This window comes from Homo sapiens, chromosome 16, assembly GCF_000001405.40.
Source record: "Homo sapiens chromosome 16, GRCh38.p14 Primary Assembly".
Classification (NCBI taxonomy): Eukaryota; Metazoa; Chordata; class Mammalia; order Primates; family Hominidae; genus Homo; species Homo sapiens.
Window position 1 is genome coordinate 27,704,863 of NC_000016.10, and position 21,636 is coordinate 27,726,498.

Sequence of the window (21,636 nt, forward strand, 5' to 3'; positions counted from 1 at the left end):
GTAGGATTAACGGTGATTCGATTTTCGTTCTTTTCTTTTTTTTCTTTTTTTTTTTTTTTTTTTTCTTAGACAGAGCCTTGTTCTGTCGCCCAGGCTGGAGTGCAGTGGCACCATCTTGGCTCATGGCAACCTCTGCCTCCCAGGTTCAAACTATTCTCCTGCCTCAGCCGACTGAGTAGCTGGGATTACAGGCACGCATCACCATGCCCAGCTAATTTTTGTATTTTTAGTAGAGATGGGTTTTTGCCATGTTGGCCAGGCTGGTCTCTAATTCCTGGCCTCAAGTGATCCACCCACCTCGGCCTCCCAAAGTGCTGGGATTATAGGCGTGAGCCACCACACCCAGCCTCCATTTTCTTTTGTGCTAAAAGGTGTGTGTCCCAGCACTCCCTTCTGCCCCTACCTTCACTCAAGCCATTCTTAGTATTATTTGGTATGGTGGTCACCAATCTTACTACTGGCCGGTGAGGACTTAATGCAAAGTCCTCCCAAAGCCACATATAAAATCCTATGAGAGCAGAAAGGCCCCTGAGCTGGCCTGGCCTGGACTAGAGTTCCAGCTTTGAATCTGGCACCATCATTGAGAGATTGTGTGACCTTAGACAAGCCTCTTAAGCTGTCTGGTCCTGGCTCTCAGATAGGGTCAATAATCCATGCCCCACAGGCCACTGTGAGGATGAAACAGGAAAGGTCTCTGAAAGCATGCAGCTCAGTGCAGGGAGAAACCAGCAAATATCTGCTGCAAGTTCACCGAGAAAAATCAAAGCTGTGCTCCCCACTGCATGGAATAGTTTCTTTATTTTTATTGTTTTAATTAATTAATTAATTTTAGAGACAGGGCCTTGCTCTTTCTTCTAAGCTGGAGTGCAGTGGGTGTGATCACAGCTCACTGCAGCCTTGAACTCCTTGCTCACTCGATCCTCCCACCTTGGCCTCCTGAGTAGCTGGGACTACAGGGGCCCCCCAGCACACCTGGCTGTTTTTTAAAAAAATTTTGTAGAGATGAATCCTTGCTGTGGTGCCCAGGCTGGTCTTGAACTTCTGGGCTCAAGCAATCCTCCCGCCTCAGCATCCCAAAATGCTGGGATTACAGCTGTGAGTCACCACACCTGACCAAGTCTCCTTATATTACGGGAGACAGAAAATCCAGGGCAAACTGACTTATACAACAAAGAGCAGAAAAATGACAGACTCTTCTCATTGAAAATGACACAGGGAGGGCCAGGTGGAGCCTGGTCCAGCAGCTCGCACTGTGTCTTTCCCCTCTGTCTGCACAGTGGAAAGCTCAGTCCCACCCCCTGGAGCTCAGTCCCATCTCTGCTCCCTCCTCATGGTCCCCAAATAGCTAGAATGGTTCTACCTTGCACCCCTGTATCATCAGACTCCACTGTCAGGAGAGAAGCCTGTTTCTCCCCATGTAAATCTGTGACTGGTGTGCTTGCACCGACCTGTGCTGGGGTGCTTGCCTGTCACTGAGCTGCTCCCTTCTGGCAGCCGAGGGGACAGGACACATTGCTTCCTTGGACCAGTCAGGCACCTCCCTGGAGTGGGAAAGGGTCAGTTCCCCTATGCTTTATGGCTGAGAAAAGAGACGCCGTGGCTTTCCCCCAAGGAAAATCAAGTGGTCTCAGCAAGAGCGGGGACAATGAATGACAGGGGCCAGGAACTTCCCAGCCAGTGTCCCCCTCCCACCGCCAAGTGGGATCCCAAATTGGGCAGTGCAGAAGCAGGAGGAGCCACTGAGTAGCAACAGACGAGTTGTGACACTTGCTTAGTTAACAGATCCTTCAGCTTTTTCATTTACGAACGCAGCTGAGGAATTTGCACATTTCAGATTGCACTGGGTGGGAGTTCTAGCAGCCCCTCTGAAAGGCAGCCTGCCTCCCATCTGGTCCTCCTGCCTCCCACCAACAAGCAAGGTGAACGGTGCCACTTCTTCAGCAATCCCCAGACTGACCACTCACCTGGCCCTGGATTGCTCCACACTATCACAAGCTCATTAACTCCCAGTCCCCTGGAGTCAACTAGGCCAGTTTAGCTTTATCACTGTCCTGCATGCCTGGGACTCAGACCCAGGGCAGCAGAGGCTTGGCCAGGACCCCACATGGCTGTGGAGCAGGAGGAAGCTGTGGGTTTCGAGGGCCCAGCTGATCAAAACAGGCCCTATCTTTTATCCAGGAGCTGTGAGCTGACCTCTCTCCCTCCTCCCTATCCGCGTTCCCACCGTGTGGCAATCAAGGCCCCTCCAAACACACACTGAGAGCAATAGCACGTCTCGCTGGCTATTAATTAAAAAAATAAGTGGGGAACAGTTGCTGTTCATTTGCTTGGCTCCCTGCTCACAGAACCATTGCAGATTACCCATGCTAATTAACAGAGGGCATGTGCACATGGGGAATGCACCATTTTGTGAGTGACTGATCCGTGGCGACCAGTGCTGCAATCAGCCCTGGAGGGCCTCAGGAAGCCATTCCGAACGGTGGCCATTTATTGATGGCATTCACGCAGGCTCTCAGAGCAGACAGCCGACGCAGGAAGGAGGCAGGCATTAAAACCAATGAAGGAGAGAAACAGAAAGAAACAGACACTTACAGAGCGCACCCAGGGCCGAGGCTCATGATAGGGCCTTCTTAGGTATTGATATCTTGTTTAACATCTGTGACAGGATTATCACATAGATGGTGTCATGTCCTCTTCCCCAACCAGGCCGAGGGATGTCAAGTGACTTGTCCAAGGCCAGGGGGCCATGTTACCTACTATATCAGTCCACCAGGGCTGCCATAACAAAATACCACACATGGGGTGGCTTCAACAACAGAGATTTGTTTTCTCACAATTCCGAAGGCTGGAAGTCCAAGATCAAGGTGTTGGCAGGTTTGGTTTGTTCTGAGGCCTCTCTCTGGCTTGCAGATAGCTGCCTTCTTGCTTTGCCCTCATATGGCCTTTTTCTGTGTGTGCATCCTTGGTGTGTCTCTCTGTGTGTCCAACTTTCCTCTTATAAGGACACCAGTTAGATTGGATTAGTGCCCCCCTCCCCCACAGCCTCATTTTAACTTAATCACCTATTTAAAGGCCTTATCTCCAAATACAGTCATATTCTGAGGTACTGGGGATTAGAGTTTCATCAGATTAATTTGGAAGGGATAAATTCAGCCCGTAACCTTTTTTTTTTTTTTTTGAGACTGGGTCTTTCACCCAGGCTGGAATGCAGTGGTGTGAACACAGCTCACTGCAGCCTCAACCACCTGGGCTCCAGCAATCCTCCTGCCTCAGCCTCCTGCGTAGCTGGGACTACAGGCATGTGCCGCTGTGCCAAGCTCTTTTTTTTTTTTAATTTTTTTGTAAAGACAGGATCTCACTTTGTTGCTTAGGCTGATCTTGAACTCCTGGCCTCGAGGAATCCTCCGAGCTTGGCCTCTCAAAGTGTTGGGATTACAGGCGTGAGCCACCGTGCCCGGCCTTAGCACGTAACACCTACTCAATTCAGCAGATGTCGTGACAAGCTTCTGGGTACCGAACACTGAGTAGTGGGGGAGAGACGTGCATGTTCAGGCAGAATTCAATGCTTTTTAGACATTTTTATTTATTTGTAAACTTTCAAACAGAATGCTCACAGAGTGCCAGTTACACAGGGCCTCTATTTTGAATGCTTTACAGTATGAATTCATTTAATCATTGTAATAACCATAGGTAGTGGGTGCTATTCTTATCCTCATTGTACAGATGGAGAGACTGAGACCCTGAAGGTTAACTAACTTTTTGAAGGCAGTGGTGGCAGAGGCAGAGCCGAATTCAAGCCTGTCATGACTTAATCCTTTGGTGTTATTTTTCTCTTCTTTAAGGACAAACAGAGAATGAGGGCAGACGAGATCAAAGATGCCATCTACGTGACCATGGAGATCCTGTCCAACTGGGGCAACTCGTGGTGGGTGGGTCTCACAGAAGTCGAGTTCTTTGACTTGAATGACACAAAGCTTTATGTGTCGCCCCACGATGTGGATATCCGGAACACAGCCACGCCTGGGGAGCTGGGCCGCCTCGTCAACAGGAACTTAGCTGTGAGTGGAAGGGGCACTGGATTGCTTCTTGGCTGTGTATTCCCATGCATTTTCTCTGCCCTTGGTAAATCTGTGTTAAGGGTATGAGTGGAGGGAGGGGAAGAACAACAAAATCTGGCCAGGTACAGAGGCTCACACCTGTAATCCCAGCACTTTGGGAGGCTGAGGCAGGCGGATCATTTGAGGTCAGGAGTTCAAGACCAGCCTGGGCAACAAGGCAAAACCCTGTCTCTACAAAAAACACAAAAAATTAGCCAGGCATCATGGCTTGTGCCTGTAGTCCCAGCTACTTGGAAAGCTGAGGTGGGAGGATCTCCTGAGCCTAAGGAGATTGAGGCTGCAGTGAGCTGTGACTGTACCACTGTACTCCAGTCGGAGCAACAGAGTAAGACCCTGTCTCTAAAAAAAAAAAAAAAATAGGCCGGGTATGGTGGCTCACACCTGTAATCCCAGCACTTTGAGAGGCCGAGGCGAGTGGATCACTTGAAGTCAGGAGTTCAATACCAGCCTGGCCAACATGGTGAAACCCCATCTCTACTAATAATACAAAAATTAGCCAGGCGTGGTGGCACATGCCTGTAATCCCAGCTACTTCTGGAGGCTGAGGCAGGAGAATCACTTGAACCCAGGAGGCAGAGGTTACAGTAAGCCGAGATTGCAGTAAGCCAAGATTGTGCCACTGCATTCCAGCCTGGGTGACAGAATGAGACTCTGTCTCAAAAAAAATAAATAAGATAAAATCTACCAGGGTTATTCATTTGGGCAAAGTTGGGGAGGAACCTGAGGGAGTGGTGCTGGCAGAGGCCCCAGACACTCTCTCCCTAAGCTGTTTCCCAGCCCCTGCTCTGTGGGTTTTTCTTGGGGGAGCCAATTCACCTGCTTTTATCCACCTTGCAGTTTTCCACAGTCACCATCAAACACTGGACCTCAGGGGTCATTAAGGTTAATGGATGTTCTTTGTAGTTGAAGAAACTACAGCTTGGAGAAGGGCATTGACTTGGCCAAGGTCATGCAGCTGGAAGGTAGTGGAGCCAAGTTCATATCGGGCAGCCTGGGCCAGGACCCTTGCCCACACCCCCTCAGGACCCTGCTGCCCTAGGTCGTGAGGTGCACACTCCACAAACGTTGAATGTTTCTTTCCTTTAAATATCCAACAGAGCCAGGTACAGTGGCTGACACCTGTAATCCCAGCGCTTTGGGAGGCCGAGGTGGGCGGATCACCTGAGGCCTGGAGTTCAAGACCAGCCTGGCCAACATGGCGAAATCCTGTCTCTACCAAAAATACAAAAATTAGCCAGGCGTTGGGGCACACACCTGTAGTCCCACCTACTTGAGGCTGAGCCAGGAGAGTCGCTTGAACCTGGGAGGGGAGGTTGCAGTGAGCCAAGATCGTGCCACTACACTCCAGCCTGAACGATGGAGCAGGACTCCGTCTCAACAAATAAACAAACAAACAACAGAATTTACAAAAAAAAGATCGGGGAGGGTACTGGCATTTTTTCCTTCCTGCTACTTGCAAGTTGCACACAAGAGACTGTGAGCTAAACTGAGCCAGAGTAGCAGCCACGTCATCTTTGCTATGTTGGGCCTCAGCTTCATTCACAATTATCTCCTCGGAGACCTGGGAAGATGTTGTTATTGCGTGATCATAGCTCACTGCAGCCTCAAACTCCTGGGCTCAAGCTGTCCTCCTGCCTCAGCCTCCTAAATAGTTGGGACTACAGGCACACAACACCACATCTGGCTAATTTTGTAAAATTTTTTATAGAGACGGGGTCTCACTATGTTACCTGGGATGGTTTCTCTGGCCTCAAGTGATCCTCCCACCTTGGCCTCCCAAAGTGCTGGAATTACGGGCATAAGCCAGCATGCCCAGCCTTTGCTGTTATTGTTATTATTATTAATAGTATTAATACCACTGGGAAAAGTAGTTAGTGTTATTCCCATTTTAAAGAAGAGGAAACAAGAAAAGGGGTTTTTGAAATCTCTGGTTCTAGAGACCCAGATTCTGGTCTTGACTCTGGCCTCAGCAACTTGCCTGCCTTCTCTGAGAGTGGGTTTTTCTGCAAGCTGAAAAATGGGAGATTGGGTCAATCATCTGTTCAGATTCTTAGATTTCCAGCAGCAGAAACTGAGTCCAGCTCAGTTAGCACATGTTTAAAAAGTAAATGTGTTTCAAGTCTTTTGAGTAGCTAGTGTACTCACTGCCACGCAGGCCAGGAGAGGATGGGCCTTGGGGGAAAGTTGGGGTTTTAGGGAGCATCCTGGAATGCTGGCCACCACGGGTGTGGTCTTTTGGGGGTGGGAGATGAACAGGAGGATGTGAGATTCTTCTGGAAAGATTCTTTTCTCAGACTTGAGGTTCTGGGGGAGATCGTGCTGTCCTACTTAGTTGACTGTTTTGGCCTTTGTGTGAGTGGTCACTTCCATGGCATCCGAAACCATCACTAACTTACGTCTTAAACTGGGTCATGACTCAAGGTTGGGGGCTACTTTCAGAGAAGGGAACAAAATGAGAAGGGGAGATGGAGAAAAGGATAAAGCTTCATTCCCTTAGTTCATACAGCAACCATTTATTGAGATGCCTCGGCAGTGTCGGTTAGCTGGTTGGTTTGTCCTCGCAACTCTCTGCTGGAAATAGTCTCAGGAGAGGAATGCTGATGGACCAGACTGAATAGGGCAGGACATCTTGATGCCAGTTCCACCAAGATGCCCCAGCAGGGCAGGAAAAGATTCTCCCTGAAGGTATTCAAGATTGCTTAGAAAAGGTGTAATATATGTCACAAGTAAAAACAAAAATTAAGAAATTCAAGATTGCCACTCAAACGGCGGGCTGGATGCTAGATAGCTAAGAAGCAACAACTGTCCCCAGGGTTGGACTGGGTGGGTCTGAGTCCCCTTCTAGATCAGTAGCTCTGTGATCTCAGCCCTCAAAAGACACAGTCCCTGAGCTGTGGATGATGGCTGCCTGGGTGCTGTGGCCTGGCCTATCCCTGCTTTGCCTCCAGATTCAAGTCTATAGGCTCCCATGCTTGCTGCTGGGACTTGGCCCAGCCTTCGCCACCCCTCCCCTGCCCCACTCTTGCAGAAAGCAGTGGCATTTTGGAAGCCTGCTCTCCAGAACAGAGCACACTAGAGACAATAAAAAGCATCACTGGATTTGATGGGGACCAATTCTGATGATTGCTCTCCCTTTCTTCTGTTTAGCAGAGACTGGGGCGCTTTGCCATGTGATGGTCCACGGTTTTGGTGGATTTGAGGTTTTTATTTTTTGGCCCTGCGATTGGGACATGAGGCAGCTGTGTCACCCTGGGCTGCTGGGTCTCTGGGCTCATCCACAGGAAGGCTGGATTCCCCCTTCTTCCCTGACGTGGGGCTTCCCTGCATCCTGGGTCCCAGGCCCGGGGCTACCGGAACACACTGCCTCTCAGAACCATCTAATTGCACCAGCGTGTGGCAGCCACAGCCTGGTGCATCGCCTCGTTTAACCCTCACATGAACCTTGGGATGACTCTCCTCATTTTACCAATGAGAGAAAACAAGATGCAGTGAGGAAGAGGCACTTGCCCCAGGCCATGCGCATGGCTGATAGAGCTCACCCGACAGCTGAGGTACCTAGAAGCGGAGGCTGGGTTTGAAAGAGAAAATGCTTCAGTGGAAGTGAATTGGAGCATTCAAAAGATGTGGGAGTGCCCCAGCCTCTATGGAAACTCCACCCTTCTGTGCCCGCACCATGTCTCTCATTGGCTGCATCCCAGCACAAGGCCTCAAGATGACTCCAGATTTATACACCCAGCCCTGCCTGCCCCTCTGAGTTACTGACATGAATGTCAACTTCCTGCTTGACATCTCTTGGATCTCTCCTGGCCATCTCAGACTTCATTATTATTATTATTATTTTTAGAGACAGGGTCTTGCTCTGTTGCCCAGGCTGGAGAGCAGTGGTGCAGTCATTGTTCACTGCAGCCTCGACCTCCTGGGCTCAAGCCACCCCCCAACCTCAGCCTCTCAAGAAGCTGGAACTACAGGCACACACTACCACACTTGGTTAATTTGTTTTTATTTTTTGTAGAGATAGGGTCTCACTGTGTGTCCCAGGCTAATCTCGATCTCCTGGCCTCAAGCAATCCTCCTGCCTTGGCCTCCCAAAGCACTGGGATTACAGGCATCAGCCACCATACCCAGCCCATTTCAGACCTCAGAGATTTAAAACTTAAGTTTTGATTCCCCTGCCCTCTTCCCCACATCACTTCTTCCTCCAGTATTTTTTGTTCAGTAACTGGCATTGCTGTCGGCTCAGATGTACCACCTAGAGTCTTCCTTAATTGCCCTAGGAAATTATGGATTTCCTATGAGTCTAGAATTATTTCCAAATAAAAAGTAAAATATATATGTATGTATGTATTGCACACTTACATGTATTGGGGATTGATACGGTTTGACTGTGTCCCCACCCAAATCTCATCTTGAATTGTAAAAATATCCACATGTCAAAGGCAGAGCCAAGTGGAGATAATTGAATCATGGGGACAGTACATTTGGGCACAGTGGTTCACACCTATAATCCCAGCACACTTTGGGAGATCGAGGCAGGAGGATCACTTGAGGCCAGGAGTTTGACACCAGCCTGGGCAACATAGTGAGACCCTGTCTCCATAAAAAAAATTAATTAAAAAATATTAATATGTGTGTGTATGTATATTTATGTGTGTATTTATATTTATGTGTGTGTATATATATACACATACATATTATATATATGTGTGTGTATATATATACACATACATATTATATATATGTGTGTGTATTATATACACATACATATTATATATATGTGTGTGTATATGTATATATACACATATTATATATGTGTGTGTGTGTGTATATACATATATATATATATATATATATATATATATATATATATATATATATATCTATCTCAGATTGTGCCCTTCCCCTACTTGAAACATGTTCACTGTGACTTCTGGTTACCCTTGGAAATAAAGCCCTGGTGTTTCCCCATGGCCTGGAGGCTCTCTGTGAACAGGCCTCCGCCCCAACTCTGTCTGCTTCACACACCCCCGCCTCACACCCAGGCTCCAGCAGCCTTGGGCCTGCCCTCTCCTTCCAATCCACCAACCTCATTCCTACCTCTCCAAAACCCTCTTCCTCCAGTTTTTCACATTGCTTCTCCACATTCAGATTTCAGCCCTAATGTCACTTTCTCAGCAAGACTTTCCCTCACCCAACAATCTGGAGGAGGCCTGTTCCCTCCCACCCCAGTCACTATCACATCATCCTTTTTCATTTCTTCAGAGCACATCTCACTGTAAGAAATGATCTTGTTTACATGTATATTATGTCTCCCCAGTTTATCTGAAAATTCTTATCTGTCCTGTTTACACTATATCCCCAGTACATAAAAATGTGCCATATATATTTTTTTGTTTTTTTAAACAGAAACATAGCTTACAGTTTTTTTGTTTTGTTGTTTAAGCTTACAGTTTTTAAACTTTTTATTTGGAGATAATTATAGACTCACAGGAATTTGTAAAATAGTACAGAAAACAGAAGAACAATAGAGAAAGTCAATGAAATCAAAAGTTGGTTCTTTGAGAGGATTAACACATTGGCAAACCTTTAGCTAAACTAACCAAAAAAAGATGGGGGAGAAGATTAAAATTACTAAAATCAAGAATGATAGAGAGAACATTGCTATTGACCTTACAGAAATAAAAAGGATTACAAGAGAAAATGAAATTAAGAAACAATTATGTTTACAGTAGCATCAAAAGAATAAAATACTTAGAAATATATTTAACAAAAGAAGTACAAAATGTTTACTCTGAAAACTACAAAACATTGTTGAAAGAAACCTAAGATCTAAGAAACTGGAAAAGCATCCCCTGTTCATGGATCAGAAGACAACATTGTCGAGATGGTAATACTTCCCCAAACTGACCTACAGATTCAGCAAAATCACTATCAGAATCTCTGCTGATTTCTTTGTACAAGTTGACAAGCTGATTCTTCAATTTATAGGGAATTTCAAGGGACTTGGAAAGCTAAAACATTATTGAAAAAGAATAAAGTAGAACTCACACTTCAATTTCAAAACATACGCCAACTCTGCAGTAATAAAGACTGCATGGTACTGGCATAGGATAGACATATAGATCAATGAAATAGAATTGAGCATCCATAAGTAAACCCATGGATTTATAGTCAATTGATTCCAACAAGGATACCACAACTGTTCAATGGGAGAAGCATAGTCATTCAAAAAATGGCCTTGGGACAAATGCGTTTCCACATGCGAGAAAATGAAGGTGGACTTCCACCATATGCCTTATGCAAAACTAACTCAATGGATCAAAGACCTAAATGTAAGAGCTAAAACTTTCAAACTCTTAGAAGAAGACAAAGGTGTAAATCTTGATAGCCTTGAATTTGTCAATGAAGTCTTAGCTATGACATCCAAAGCACAAACAACCAAAAACAAGAAAAAACGGATAAGTCAGACTTCATCAAAATTAAAAACATTTTTGCTTCAGATGACACTGTCAAGAAAGTAAAAATACAACCTACAAAAGGGAGAAAATATCTGCACATCATATATCTGATAAGGGTCTAATATTCAGAATATACAAAGAAAAAAACCGTAATGACAAAAAGATGAACAACCCAATTAAAATATGGCCAAAGGACTTTGAATAGACATTTCTCCAAGAAAATGTACAAATGGCTAATGAGCACATTAAAGATACTTAACATCATAAGTTGTTAGGGAAATGCAAATCAAAACCGCAATGAGATATCACTTCACACCCACTAGGACAGCTGTAATTTTAAAAAAGAAAAGAGAAAATAAGTATTGGTGAGCATGTGGAGAAATTGGAACCTTCATTCTTTGCTTGTGGAAATGTAAAATGGTGCAGCCCCTGTGGAAAACAGCTTAGCAATTTCTCAAAAAGGTAAATGTAGGGTTACCCATGACCTAGCAATTCCATTCCTAGGTGCATACCCAGGATAACTAAAAACATACATTTATTTAAAAAAAAAAAAAACTTGTACATGCATGTTCATAGCAGCATTATTCAGAATAGCCAAAAAGTAGTAGAAACAGCCAGATGTCCATCAATGGATGAATAAAGAAAATGTAGTATTTCCACAAAATGGAATATTATTCAGCCCTAAAAAGGAAAGAACTATTGCTACATGCTACAACCTGGATGAACCTTGAAAACATTATGCCAAGTGAAGGAAGCCAGACACAGAAGGCTATATGTTGTATAATTTCATTTCATTTATATGAAATGTCCCGAATAGGCAAATCTGAAGGCAGAAAGTAGATTAGTCATTGCCAGGGGCTGGGAGGAAGCAGGAATGGGGAGAGACTGCTAATGAATGTGGTTATCTTTTGGAGGGTGGTGAAAATGTACTGGAAGAAGATAATGGTAATGGTTGAAAAACCTTGTGAATATACTAAAACACCAGTGAACTGAACGCTTTAAAATGGCGAACTTTATGCTATATGAATTATATCTCAATTAAAAAAAAAAAGGACAGAGAAATCTTACACACCTTTACCCAGCTTTCCCCAGTGGTAAATTCTATGTAACTGTAGTACATAATCAAAACCAGGACCTTGACATTGGTATAATGTACAGACCTTCATACATTCACTTGTGTGTACATGTATATATTTCTATGCAGTGTTATCACATATGTAGATTTCTTTCTAAAGATACAGACATTTGAGATACAGAGCAGTTCCATCACCACCAAGGAGTTCCCTTGGGCTCCTCTTGTACAGCCACACTTCCCCATGCCCAGTCCTGACAATGGAAACCACTGATCTGTTCCTCTACCTACATTTTGTCGTTTCAAGAATGCTACGTAAATGGAATCATACCATTTACGTAGCATTTTTTTTTTTGAGACGAAGTCTCACACTGTCGCCCAGGCTGGTGTGCGGTGGGGCGATCTCGGCTCACTGCAACCTCCACCTCCCGGGTTCGAGCGATTCTTCTGCCTCATCCTCCCAAGTGGCTGGGACTACGGGCGGCGCCACCACACCCGGCTAATTTTTGTATTTTTAGTAGAGACAGGGTTTCACTATGTTGGCCCGGCTGGTCTCGAACTCCTGACCTCGTGATCCGCCCACCTCAGCCTCTCAAAGTGCTGGGATTACAGGTGTGAGCCACTGCGCCCAGCCAATTTATGTAGCATTTATGTCATTACCAGAGTTGGTAACCTTTCTGAGACTCGCTTTTTTCACTCAGCGTAATGCCCTTGACATCCTTCCAAATTGTTGTGTGTGTCAATAGTTTGTTCCTTTTTAATGCAATAATTTATTAAATTGGAGCTACTTCTGAGGGCAGCGCAGTATCTCCCTGCAGGTTGCTATTCAGTGTTATGTTAATACTGGAGTTAAAAAGCCACCTTTGGTTTAGGAGTTAGAAAGTTACCTGCTCAGAGAAGCCTGCTTTAACCATTCATTCTAAAATAGCTGTTCCATGGGCCATTAATAATTCTCTCTTATTTTTTTCCTAGAATGTGTCCCTACTTGATTTTTTTTTTCTTGGAAACATTACCTGTTTGCCTTCCCTCATAGCACAGAGCTGCTAGGACCTGGTGGGTCAGGTTCCCTTGCACATGCCCCGGGTCTGGCTCAGCATCAGTCTCCTAGGAGGGACCCTGTACAGTGTTTGTTGGGCAAGTTATGGAGTAGATATGTCAGTGCCTGCTTCCACCCTTTTGCCCTAGCACTTCAGGGCATGCTGACTGCTTTTCTGAATGGCAGCACTGAGATTTCTTTCCTGGAGGATTCTTTTTGTGGCCTCCAGGGCCCGCTTTACCTTCCATACAGAGAGAAATAGAAGCCCCCCAGGAGCAGCACTCAACCAACATTGGGAGTTGGTATTTATACCCCAACTCCCGGGCCCCATTGGTGCAGTCACTCTGAGGCCTGTTCCACCCTGGCTCCCAGATTCCCTGGGGGGATTAAGCTCCAGTTGCCCACAGGAGCAGCTGTCTTGAAAACATACCCTTTATGAGCCACCTTCCCTGCCTTGTCTCACTTCTTCACTCTCCCATTGATATTTTCTGCTCTGTCTAAATAAGCTACTTACATGTGGATCCTTGCCTCAGGGTCTGCTTCTAGGGGAATCCAGAGACAGAATGAATTAATGCATGAAAGATGGAGGCTCGGATCCTCACTCCACCACGTAGGTGCTGCACAACCTTAGGTGATCCCACCCCTCGCTGAGCTTTGGCCTGTTTTGGTCAGTAGCACATGCGGTACAGCAATGCCCACCTCCTGGGGTTTCCAAGTGAAAGAAGCCATGAACCAAGGGCGGTAACAGCAGCATGAAGGCGCCCGATTCCCGTTCTGCTGTATTCCTTACCCCCTGTGTTGGGGAGGGAGGAGCTGCAGACGCTCTGCCTCCTGCCCTGGCACCGAGGGGTTTTCCCAGCATGTGCCAGGTCAGCCCTGGGCAGCTTCCCATCAGCCTTTCTCTCTGAGATCCTGTGTGTGGAGAGAAAACATCAGAAGGCTGGGTTGCTAATGAGGCCCAGAGTTATCCGCAGGTTAATGTTCTTTGACTTTGAACACCACAATTCCCGCTTAGCCCTCCTGTTATTCCTCCTGCTGACAGAAATGTGAAGGGAAATCAATTACAGTCCCCTAGCCCACATCTAAGGGTCAGCCATCAGTCTCTTCCTTTGTCAGGCAGCCACAGTGCCCCATTTTAGGCCCCCACTCAGCAAAGGAATGAGACTCACCCGCTGGATTTGGGGATGTGGTTTCTTGACCCCTCGCAGCTGCCCAGAGCACTAGAAGTTCTTGTAGAGCTGGAGAAACTTGCCAGAATAAGTCAGAACCCCTTGAACTCATCGTTCCCCCTTAACAAAAGCCACCTCCTCCCTCCTGAAAGGCACCATTGTCACCAAAACAAGTCCCCTTTGTCCTCCACCGCAGCTGGAGCCTGGGCCTTCCATCTCCTGGGGGCCAATAAAACCCCAGATCAGCCAATCCTCCCTCCCTGGCTCTGTCAAGTAGCAGGCACGTTCCTGGTGACGGGGAGTCTGTTGAGATGTTCTCAAATGCAGGGTGATGCCCCTTTGAGATAAAAGGGACAACTCAGCCAGTGTCAGGCCTGCAGAGGTTGCTTATTGGCAGATGGGACTTGCTGCTGCTGCTCAGCCCCTAAACAAGGACTGCAGACTCAATGCCTACAGGGGCCAGGCCAAGGCAGAAGAGGGAAGCAAGGTGGATATGAAGCAGTAGGGAGTGGTGGGGACCCTGGAGCCCTGGGAAATGGCGGGCTTCAAGGGCTGCACACTCTTGGCTCCAGGAAACGGCCATCAGGGCTCCTGAGCTGCCATGTCTTCCGAGTCTGCAGAGGGGTCAGAAATCTGGCTGTTTGGAGAAATCTCCCCCCTCCACCACCACCTTTTTTTGAGACAGAGTCTCACTTCATCACCCAGGCTGGAGTGCAGTGGTGCCATCTTGGCTCACTGCAGCCTCCACCTTCTGGGTTCAAGCGATTCTCCTGCCTCAGCCTCCCCAGTAGCTGGAATTAGAGGCCCGCCACCATGCCCAACTAAATTTTGTATTTTTTTTTTCTTTTAGTAGAGACGGGGTTTCACTACGTTGGCCAGGCTGGTCTCGAACTCCTGACCTCAAATGATCCACCCGCCTCAGCCTCTCAAAGTGCTGGGATTACAGGTATGAGCCACTGCACCCAGCCCTTATTTCTTTTTTTTTTTTTTTTCTTAGAGACAGGGTCTCACTGTGTTGCCCAGGCTGGAGTGCAGTGGTACCAAACTCCTGGGCTCAAGCAATCCTACCACTTCAGCCTCCTGAGTAGCCAGAACTATAGGCAAACACTGCCACATCCTGCTAATTTTTAAAATTTTTTTGTAGAGACAAGGTCTCTCTATATTACTTAGGCTGGTCTCTAACTCCTGGCCTCAAGTGATCCTCCTGCCTCAGCCTCCCAAGTCACTGGGATTAAAGGCATGAGCCACTGCACCTGTCTGAATCTCCCCATTTTTAAATGTTGGCAATGAATTTGTGTTTGCTTTGTTGTTGTTGTTGTTGTTGTTTACACTGGATGAACCAAACAAATACCTGTGTAAGCCAGACCCAGCTTACAGTCTCTTCTCTGTTTGTTTGTTTGTTTGTTTTTTCCTGGAGACGGAGTTTGGAGTTCAATGGCACGATCTCAGCCCACTGCAACATCCACCTCACGAGTTCAAGCTATTCTCCTGCCTCCGCCTCCTGAGTAGCTGGGATTACAGGCATGCACCACCACGCCCAGCTAATTTTTGCATTATTAGTAGAGACAGGGTTTCTCTGTGTTGGCCAGGCTGGTCTCGAGCTCCTGACCTCAGGTGATCCACCTGCCTCCACCTCCCAAAGTGCTGGGATTACAGACATAAGCCACAGCACCTGGCCTACAGTCTCCTCCCTAAAGCTTTAATGAAAGGGCAGACATTAGGAGGCACACTCCATGTGTGTGCATTCATGTAGTCATTTATTTATTACACAAAGGGTTTTGTTCTTTTTTTTTTTTTTTTTTTGGCATCTTCCATGTGCCAAGGAACTATGCTAAAAGCCTAGGATTCTGGAATAACCAGACACAACCCCTTCCCTTGAGCTCACGGCTGAATGGGGGCCTGACATGGACGTGAAAAGAGATGATCGTGGGACACCGAGGTAGGCACCAAGCTTGGGGACTGCAAGTAGCTGAGGGCACTTGGATTTAACTGAATTCCCCAGATTGAGAAGGTTAAGAAGAGAATTGCAAGCAAGCAGAGGCCCAGCCTGTGCCAAGGCACTGGGTCGAGCCAGCGTGGACGCGTTTGGGAGCAGCTGTGAGTTTTGTCCCACTGGAGAGTGAATAGGTATTGTAGAAAGCCAAGAGGAGGCGGCTGGGGCTGAGAAAAGTCCCCTGGTTTGGGTTTTTCCATCTGTACCCAAAGCACTCATGACATGCAATTTTGTCCGTGTGAATGAGAATGACAGCAAGGCGTCTCTGTTCACCTGCCCCTGGGGCCTCCATCAGGGGGAGTCTGCAAACTGAAGCCTCCAAGCTTGGAAACCCTGAAAGGAACAGAATAAATCCCAGGGCTCAGTGCCCTGGCCCTGGCCCAACCAACGACTGAGCTAGTAGCTTTCTTTCTTTTCTATTTTAAAATTTTAAAAATTCATCAGGGTTTTACAAAAGAAAATCAAAGGCTCTGTTTGCCAGGTTAATCAAATAGCGTCCCATCCTTCTCTCTAGCGTCTTTCCCCTCCCCCAGCGCTCTCCTCAAAGCCGATTAAGTTGATGAAAATAAAGCCCGCTGCATTTTAAATTCCGTCTGGTTGGCAGATCAGAGGGGTCCGTGTGGCAGCTTTGTGCAGGGGGTGGGATGGGGTCAGTAGCCTGCTGTGAAGTGCCGTCCAGACGGGGTGATCTGAGTCCCCAGCCTGGGTGATGGCAACGGGGTGGCCTGGCTGTCTGCCCTGAGCCCTCACCAGGCCTCTCCTGGTTTTCGTGAGCCAAAGAGCCGCTGCCATTTTACTTTGGGGAGAGGCAGAAATGTGCCTAATGATTTCCTTCTCTTGCTGGCCTTCTAGGGCAAGAAAGACTCCTCCCCGTGGACCTGCCCCTTCCACCCACCACTCCAGCTGTTTTTTGTTATTCGAAACACAAGACAGCTGGGGGACTTCCATCTGGCCAAGATCAAGGTTCGGAATTACTGGACAGCTGATGGCGTAAGTAACAGGCGCTGGTTCCCCACTGGGCACTGGGTTGATGGAAGCACTTAGCAGTTTGCCAATAGCCTGATTCCTAAAGTTGCAAAATGGATACACGGAAGCCCTGCTGGCCTCGTGTGTGCAGCAAGAGCCTGCTGGTAGGTTCACACTGCATTCTCATAGCCCCCAGGGACAGAGCTTCCGGCTGCTGGTGTTGGGAGGTGGTATCAGGCCACCCTTGGGGGAACTGGAAAAATGTAAGCTGAGACTCAGTTTTACAGATAAGGAAACAGACACAGAGAGGTTATGTAACTTGCCCCAAGTCACAGCCAGTCAGTGTCAGAATGAGAATGTGAACGCCTGCATTTGGACTCCAGGCCCTTTCTCTTAGCCTTCACTTCTCAAATGTTAACTTGCACTGACTCATCTGCGGGATCTTGCTAAAATGCAGGTTCTAATTCAGCAGGTCTGGAGCAGGGCCTGAGATTCTGTAGGTCTAGCCAGCTCCCAGGCATCCCAATCTTCCTGTTCTGTGGACCTCACTGTGTCTAGCCAGGCTCTTAACCTCTGACTATTGTGCCCCTCTGGTTCTATTTTTTATTTTTTAAAAGACTAGTCAAGTACAGTAATGAGAAGGGGTGATAGAATGGAAAAAGGAGTTAGATCTGTAACTGACTGTGATCAATTGAGATAACTTGCTACCTTTGGACCCACCACCTCCGGTTGCAGGATCCACACCCTCCTTTCTAACCTCACACTATCTACCCTCATGCTGCTGCCTGTGCCCACACCCTTTCCTTCCTTCTCTGGGCTGTTTTTCATGCACTCATAGTTCTATCAGGGAACTAAATAGTGAGGAAGGACAGGAATTCACTTGGCCTATCTGCCCCTCTTATGGTAGACATAGGGGCAAGAGTTGTACTTTCCTTTCAAATCTGTAAGGGAAGCGATCGTTCAAGTGAGATTATAAATAGGAATGGAGCCTCACCTTCAGTCTTGCTAGAGACATTAGGGAGTGGTGGGGACTATGGCAGACTGGCAAGCCCATGCCTCAGGGAAAAGGAAGGCCACTTTTCAGCTTCAACTAAGGGTTGCTTTGTAGAATACCAGCCAGTTCTGCTAGATCTTCCCAACATGCCCAGTGAGCTGGATATCTGAGTTTTGACATGAGCCTTCCTTATGTGTAAATGTCAGTAGCTAATTTAAGTTCTTTTTAAACCACCATACAATTCAAACAAAACTCTTCTTTGGGCTGGAACTAGCCTGCCCTAGACTGCGTGGAGTGTGGAGAAAGGAGCCCGCCTCAGGCTGGGAGAGATCAGGGAAGGTTCTTGAAGGAACACACACCTAAGCTGTGATGGCAAAGGACAATGGCAGTCAGCCAAGGCAGGAAAGGAGAAAGTGTATCCTGGGTGGAGGGCCCTGCGTGTTCACAGGCATGGAGGTGTGAAAGAACACAGCCTCCTAATCGCTCCCTTCAGTCTGTCTCCAGCAGCCACCAGGGCGATCCAATCACACATCTCTGCTGCTTCAAACCCTCAGAGCTTCCCCTTGGCCCAGAGGATCAAGGTCAACCCCCTGAGTGTGACATCAGAGCCTCCTAATCCCCTCATGCCAGGCCTTGCCTCTCTCTTGTCAGAATGCAGGCTGCCCTGGCTTTCCATCCCGTGAACATAGCAGTGATCCCTTTATCCCTGTCCCCCCTCCACCCCCATCTCACTCAACTCAGAATGCCCATCTCTGCCTGATATTCCTGGAAACACAGACGTCACTTTCTCCAGGAAGCCAACCCTGCCCCCTGCCCCCTGCCCCTTGCGCTTCTCTGGGACCTCATGAACATGTTCCACCATCTCCTGACCAGAATTTATGGCTACTTTCCCAGGCCGCCATGGACCTCTTAAGAGTCATCTCCACCCCTGCCCTAGTGAAAGGAGAAATACGTGGTTGATGAATGAATGAATGAATGAATGAGCTCATGTTCCTAATAATCCATAAGCAGTTGTGTTATCCTTACTGATATCCAGATGAGAGGATAGGAGAGGCTAGGTGGCTTGCACGAGACCACATGGCAGGTTGGAGGCAGAGCGGGGAACCTAGTCCCAGAGAGGCAGTCCTCCCTTCCTCCCTTCCTCCCTCCCTCCCTCCTTCCCATCCTCCCTTCCTGAGCTGCTTCTTGCTAGTTCTGCCACCCACCAGCTGTCCATCCACCTAGTGATCACGTCGTGAGCACCTGTCAGTTGCGAGGCACCTCGAGTCAGGAAACTAACAGGACAGGCAGCCCCGGCCAGCTGTGTGTACGCACAGTGCTGCCCAGAGCTTTCTCTGATTTCTGATCGTTGAGGTTGTTTGTTTGCTTGTTTGTTTTTAAACAAACATCTGAAGTTTAAACTTGAGAAAAAGAAGGCCAAGCCACTGGGAACTTGCGGAAATTTCTCTGGGCATGTCTCTGCTTGCCAGCCCTGGCCTCTTGTGTGCTCAGAGGCTGACCCTCAGACCCCGGAATGCAGCCCCAGCCCACATAGCCATGGCACACTAAGAGCTTCTGGGGTCGGGTCCTCTCATTCCAAGTCCCACTCAGTGCTTCCTGGCAGGTGGCCATCGTCACCCTCTTCTGGAATGGGCAATGGAACAATGCCAGCAGCCCGTGGCTGTGCCCTGCAGCTCGGCCCTGTCATTGAATATATATCTCAGGGCAAGGAAAGCAGATTTTATGTGCAGGATTACAACAAAGATAAGCTTCATCCCTTTTGGCCAGGGCCTGCCTTTCTTCTTTAACCTATGCTCAGCCTTCCTTGTGCTTATAGAATGGTTTAAAAAGGCACAGGGTCTTAAGAGTCCCTCAGGAGCATGGGGTGTCATCATGGGTGCTTGGGGGAGCTGTTGGCTGCAGGGATTTGAGAGCCGAGGTCTTTCCACACCCAGGGTGGAGTGTGGAGGACTGCGGTTCCTGCCAGGGCACCGCTTATGTAACACAAACCCAATCTGTTGCCAGAATTTACCAGGAGCAGAAAAGCGCAAACAAATGCAGCTGCAGGTTGGTTTGATTTAATATTCTCCAGAGGATGCTATTACTGTGTGTTTTAGAGGAGATAAAATGAGAGTTTATAGGAAATATAGCTCGGCCTGGTAGACAAGGCTTGTTAATAGTGTTTTGTGTATGGGAATCTGAAGAAGAAAAGTTAAATGTGGGCAGCTAATCCAACCAGGGCTTATTTAGAACAGAAGAAAGGAAGGGACTAGAAAAAGGGGAGTCTCTTTTATTGGGCAATGTGCTGCCTGTGAAATCCTCATGCTAGCATTTATGGGCTCCTTTCCCCCTAACTTGGTGATTCTGTAAGTGTCAGCTGGGCCAGAGGAGAGGGATGGGAGAGGTGAAGTGAGGACGTGGAGGCTGCACCACCACTACAGCAGTGCACAGAAGGCAGCACACAGATGCCTCTACTTGTGACAGCTGCCATTTATTGAATGCCGCAGGTATCAGGCACGTATAGGCACCCTGTGGGCACTCAGTAAATATTCAATGCATGAATGAATAACTGAACAAATGAATCATCTCAATTAACCCCCAGTGATCCTATGAGGCAGGTGGTGGTATTTCCCATCTTATAGACGAAGAAGCCAGAACTTAGGACAGTGAGATCCCAGATGGCAAATCGGCTGTGTCTCTTTTGCCAACTCGGATGGGAAACAGCTTGCTGGAGTGCCGTCCTGAGAAAGATCTGGAACCTTCTTTCTGGTTCATCGAGGAAAGGGTGTGATGATTGATCAGCCACGTCTGCCGTGGGCTCAGGAGGATGTGATAACATGTGTGTCGTATCTTTTGGTGTTCCCCAGATTAAGTGACTTGCCCAGCTAGCAGGTGGTAAGAGACAAAGCCGGGAAGGGAAATTTGAGGTCCGCTTGTCTTTCTCTGGTTTTTCACAGCACTGCTTCTCCTGCAGAGTGGCATCTGTTGGGAGGAAGAAACCGATAGTCTCCCTTCTATAGTAGGTAATAACTCATCCAAAAAGTGGGCTTCCAGCAGCTCCCCATGGTCCATCTGTTTGCCTTTATAATAGTCATGTTAGTTATGTGTGACAGTACAGATAAGCACACCATCCCCATCATCCACAGCGTCACCACGCAAGTGCCGCCTCCAGCCTGGTCACACCAGGAAGTGGGACAGCAGTGAGCATCCAGGCAGGACAGGCACCCAGGGTATATTTTATATACAGAAAGGCACTCGTTAAATTGTTTTTGATAAATGAATGCTACATTTCCCCAGGGGCATGTTTCTGTGACATGTCATGTGGTCTAGGCCAGGGGTCCCCAGCCCCCAGGCCACAGACCAGTACCAGTCTGTGGCCTGTTAGGAACCAGACTGCACAGTAGGAGGTGAGCACCAGATGAGCCAGCATGACCGCCTGAGCTCTGCCCTCCTGTCAGATCAGCAGCGGCATGAGATTCTCATAGGCATGGGAACCCTACTGGGAATTGCACATGCGAAGGATCTAGGCTGCACGCTCCTTATGAGAATCTAATGCCTGATGATCTGAGATGAAACAGTTTCATCCCAAAACCATCCCCACCCCTGCCACCATCCATGGGAAAATTATCTTCCACAAAACCAGTCCCTGGTGCCCAAAAGGTTGGGGACCGCTGGTGTAGGCCACCGCTGCTTGCTAGAACTTTCTGTGATGGTAGACATGTCCTGTATCTGCCCTGTTTGGTACAGTAATCACTAGACACAGGTGGCTGTTGAGAATTTCACAAGCAGCTAGTGCCACTGAGACACTGACTGCACTTTACATTGTAATTAATTAATTTTAGTTTTAAGTAGCC

At 47.6% G+C, this 21,636-nt stretch overlaps 1 protein-coding gene and 1 long non-coding RNA gene across 20 annotated transcripts in view, besides 1 other annotated feature; one reads left to right on the forward strand and one right to left on the reverse strand.

The window, feature by feature from the left end:
• KATNIP (katanin interacting protein) overlaps positions 1-21,636 on the forward strand; it is a 230,201-nt gene that overhangs the window by 154,719 nt on the left and 53,846 nt on the right. For all 19 annotated transcript variants that reach the window (XM_005255201.4, XM_005255202.4, XM_011545775.3 and 16 more), the window contains 2 exons: positions 3,843-4,058; positions 16,696-16,833. In XM_005255201.4, the coding sequence (XP_005255258.1) occupies positions 3,843-4,058; positions 16,696-16,833 (354 nt within the window). The remainder of the gene's footprint in view (positions 1-3,842; positions 4,059-16,695; positions 16,834-21,636) is intronic.
• On the reverse strand, positions 3,559-14,167 carry LOC100128079 (uncharacterized). The gene is made up of 3 exons (NR_147898.1): positions 13,851-14,167; positions 13,381-13,593; positions 3,559-4,056 (listed from the first exon to the last, which is right to left on the reverse strand). It is a non-coding gene; the product is annotated as an uncharacterized LOC100128079 (long non-coding RNA).
• Positions 19,126-19,626: an enhancer, noted in NCBI's record as "H3K4me1 hESC enhancer chr16:27735309-27735809 (GRCh37/hg19 assembly coordinates)". NCBI's record gives its function as "activates a minimal SCP1, AML or CMV promoter by ChIP-STARR-seq in naive and primed H9 embryonic stem cells {active_cell/tissue: H9 hESC(naive and primed)}" and the evidence as "EXISTENCE:reporter gene assay evidence [ECO:0000049][PMID:30033119]".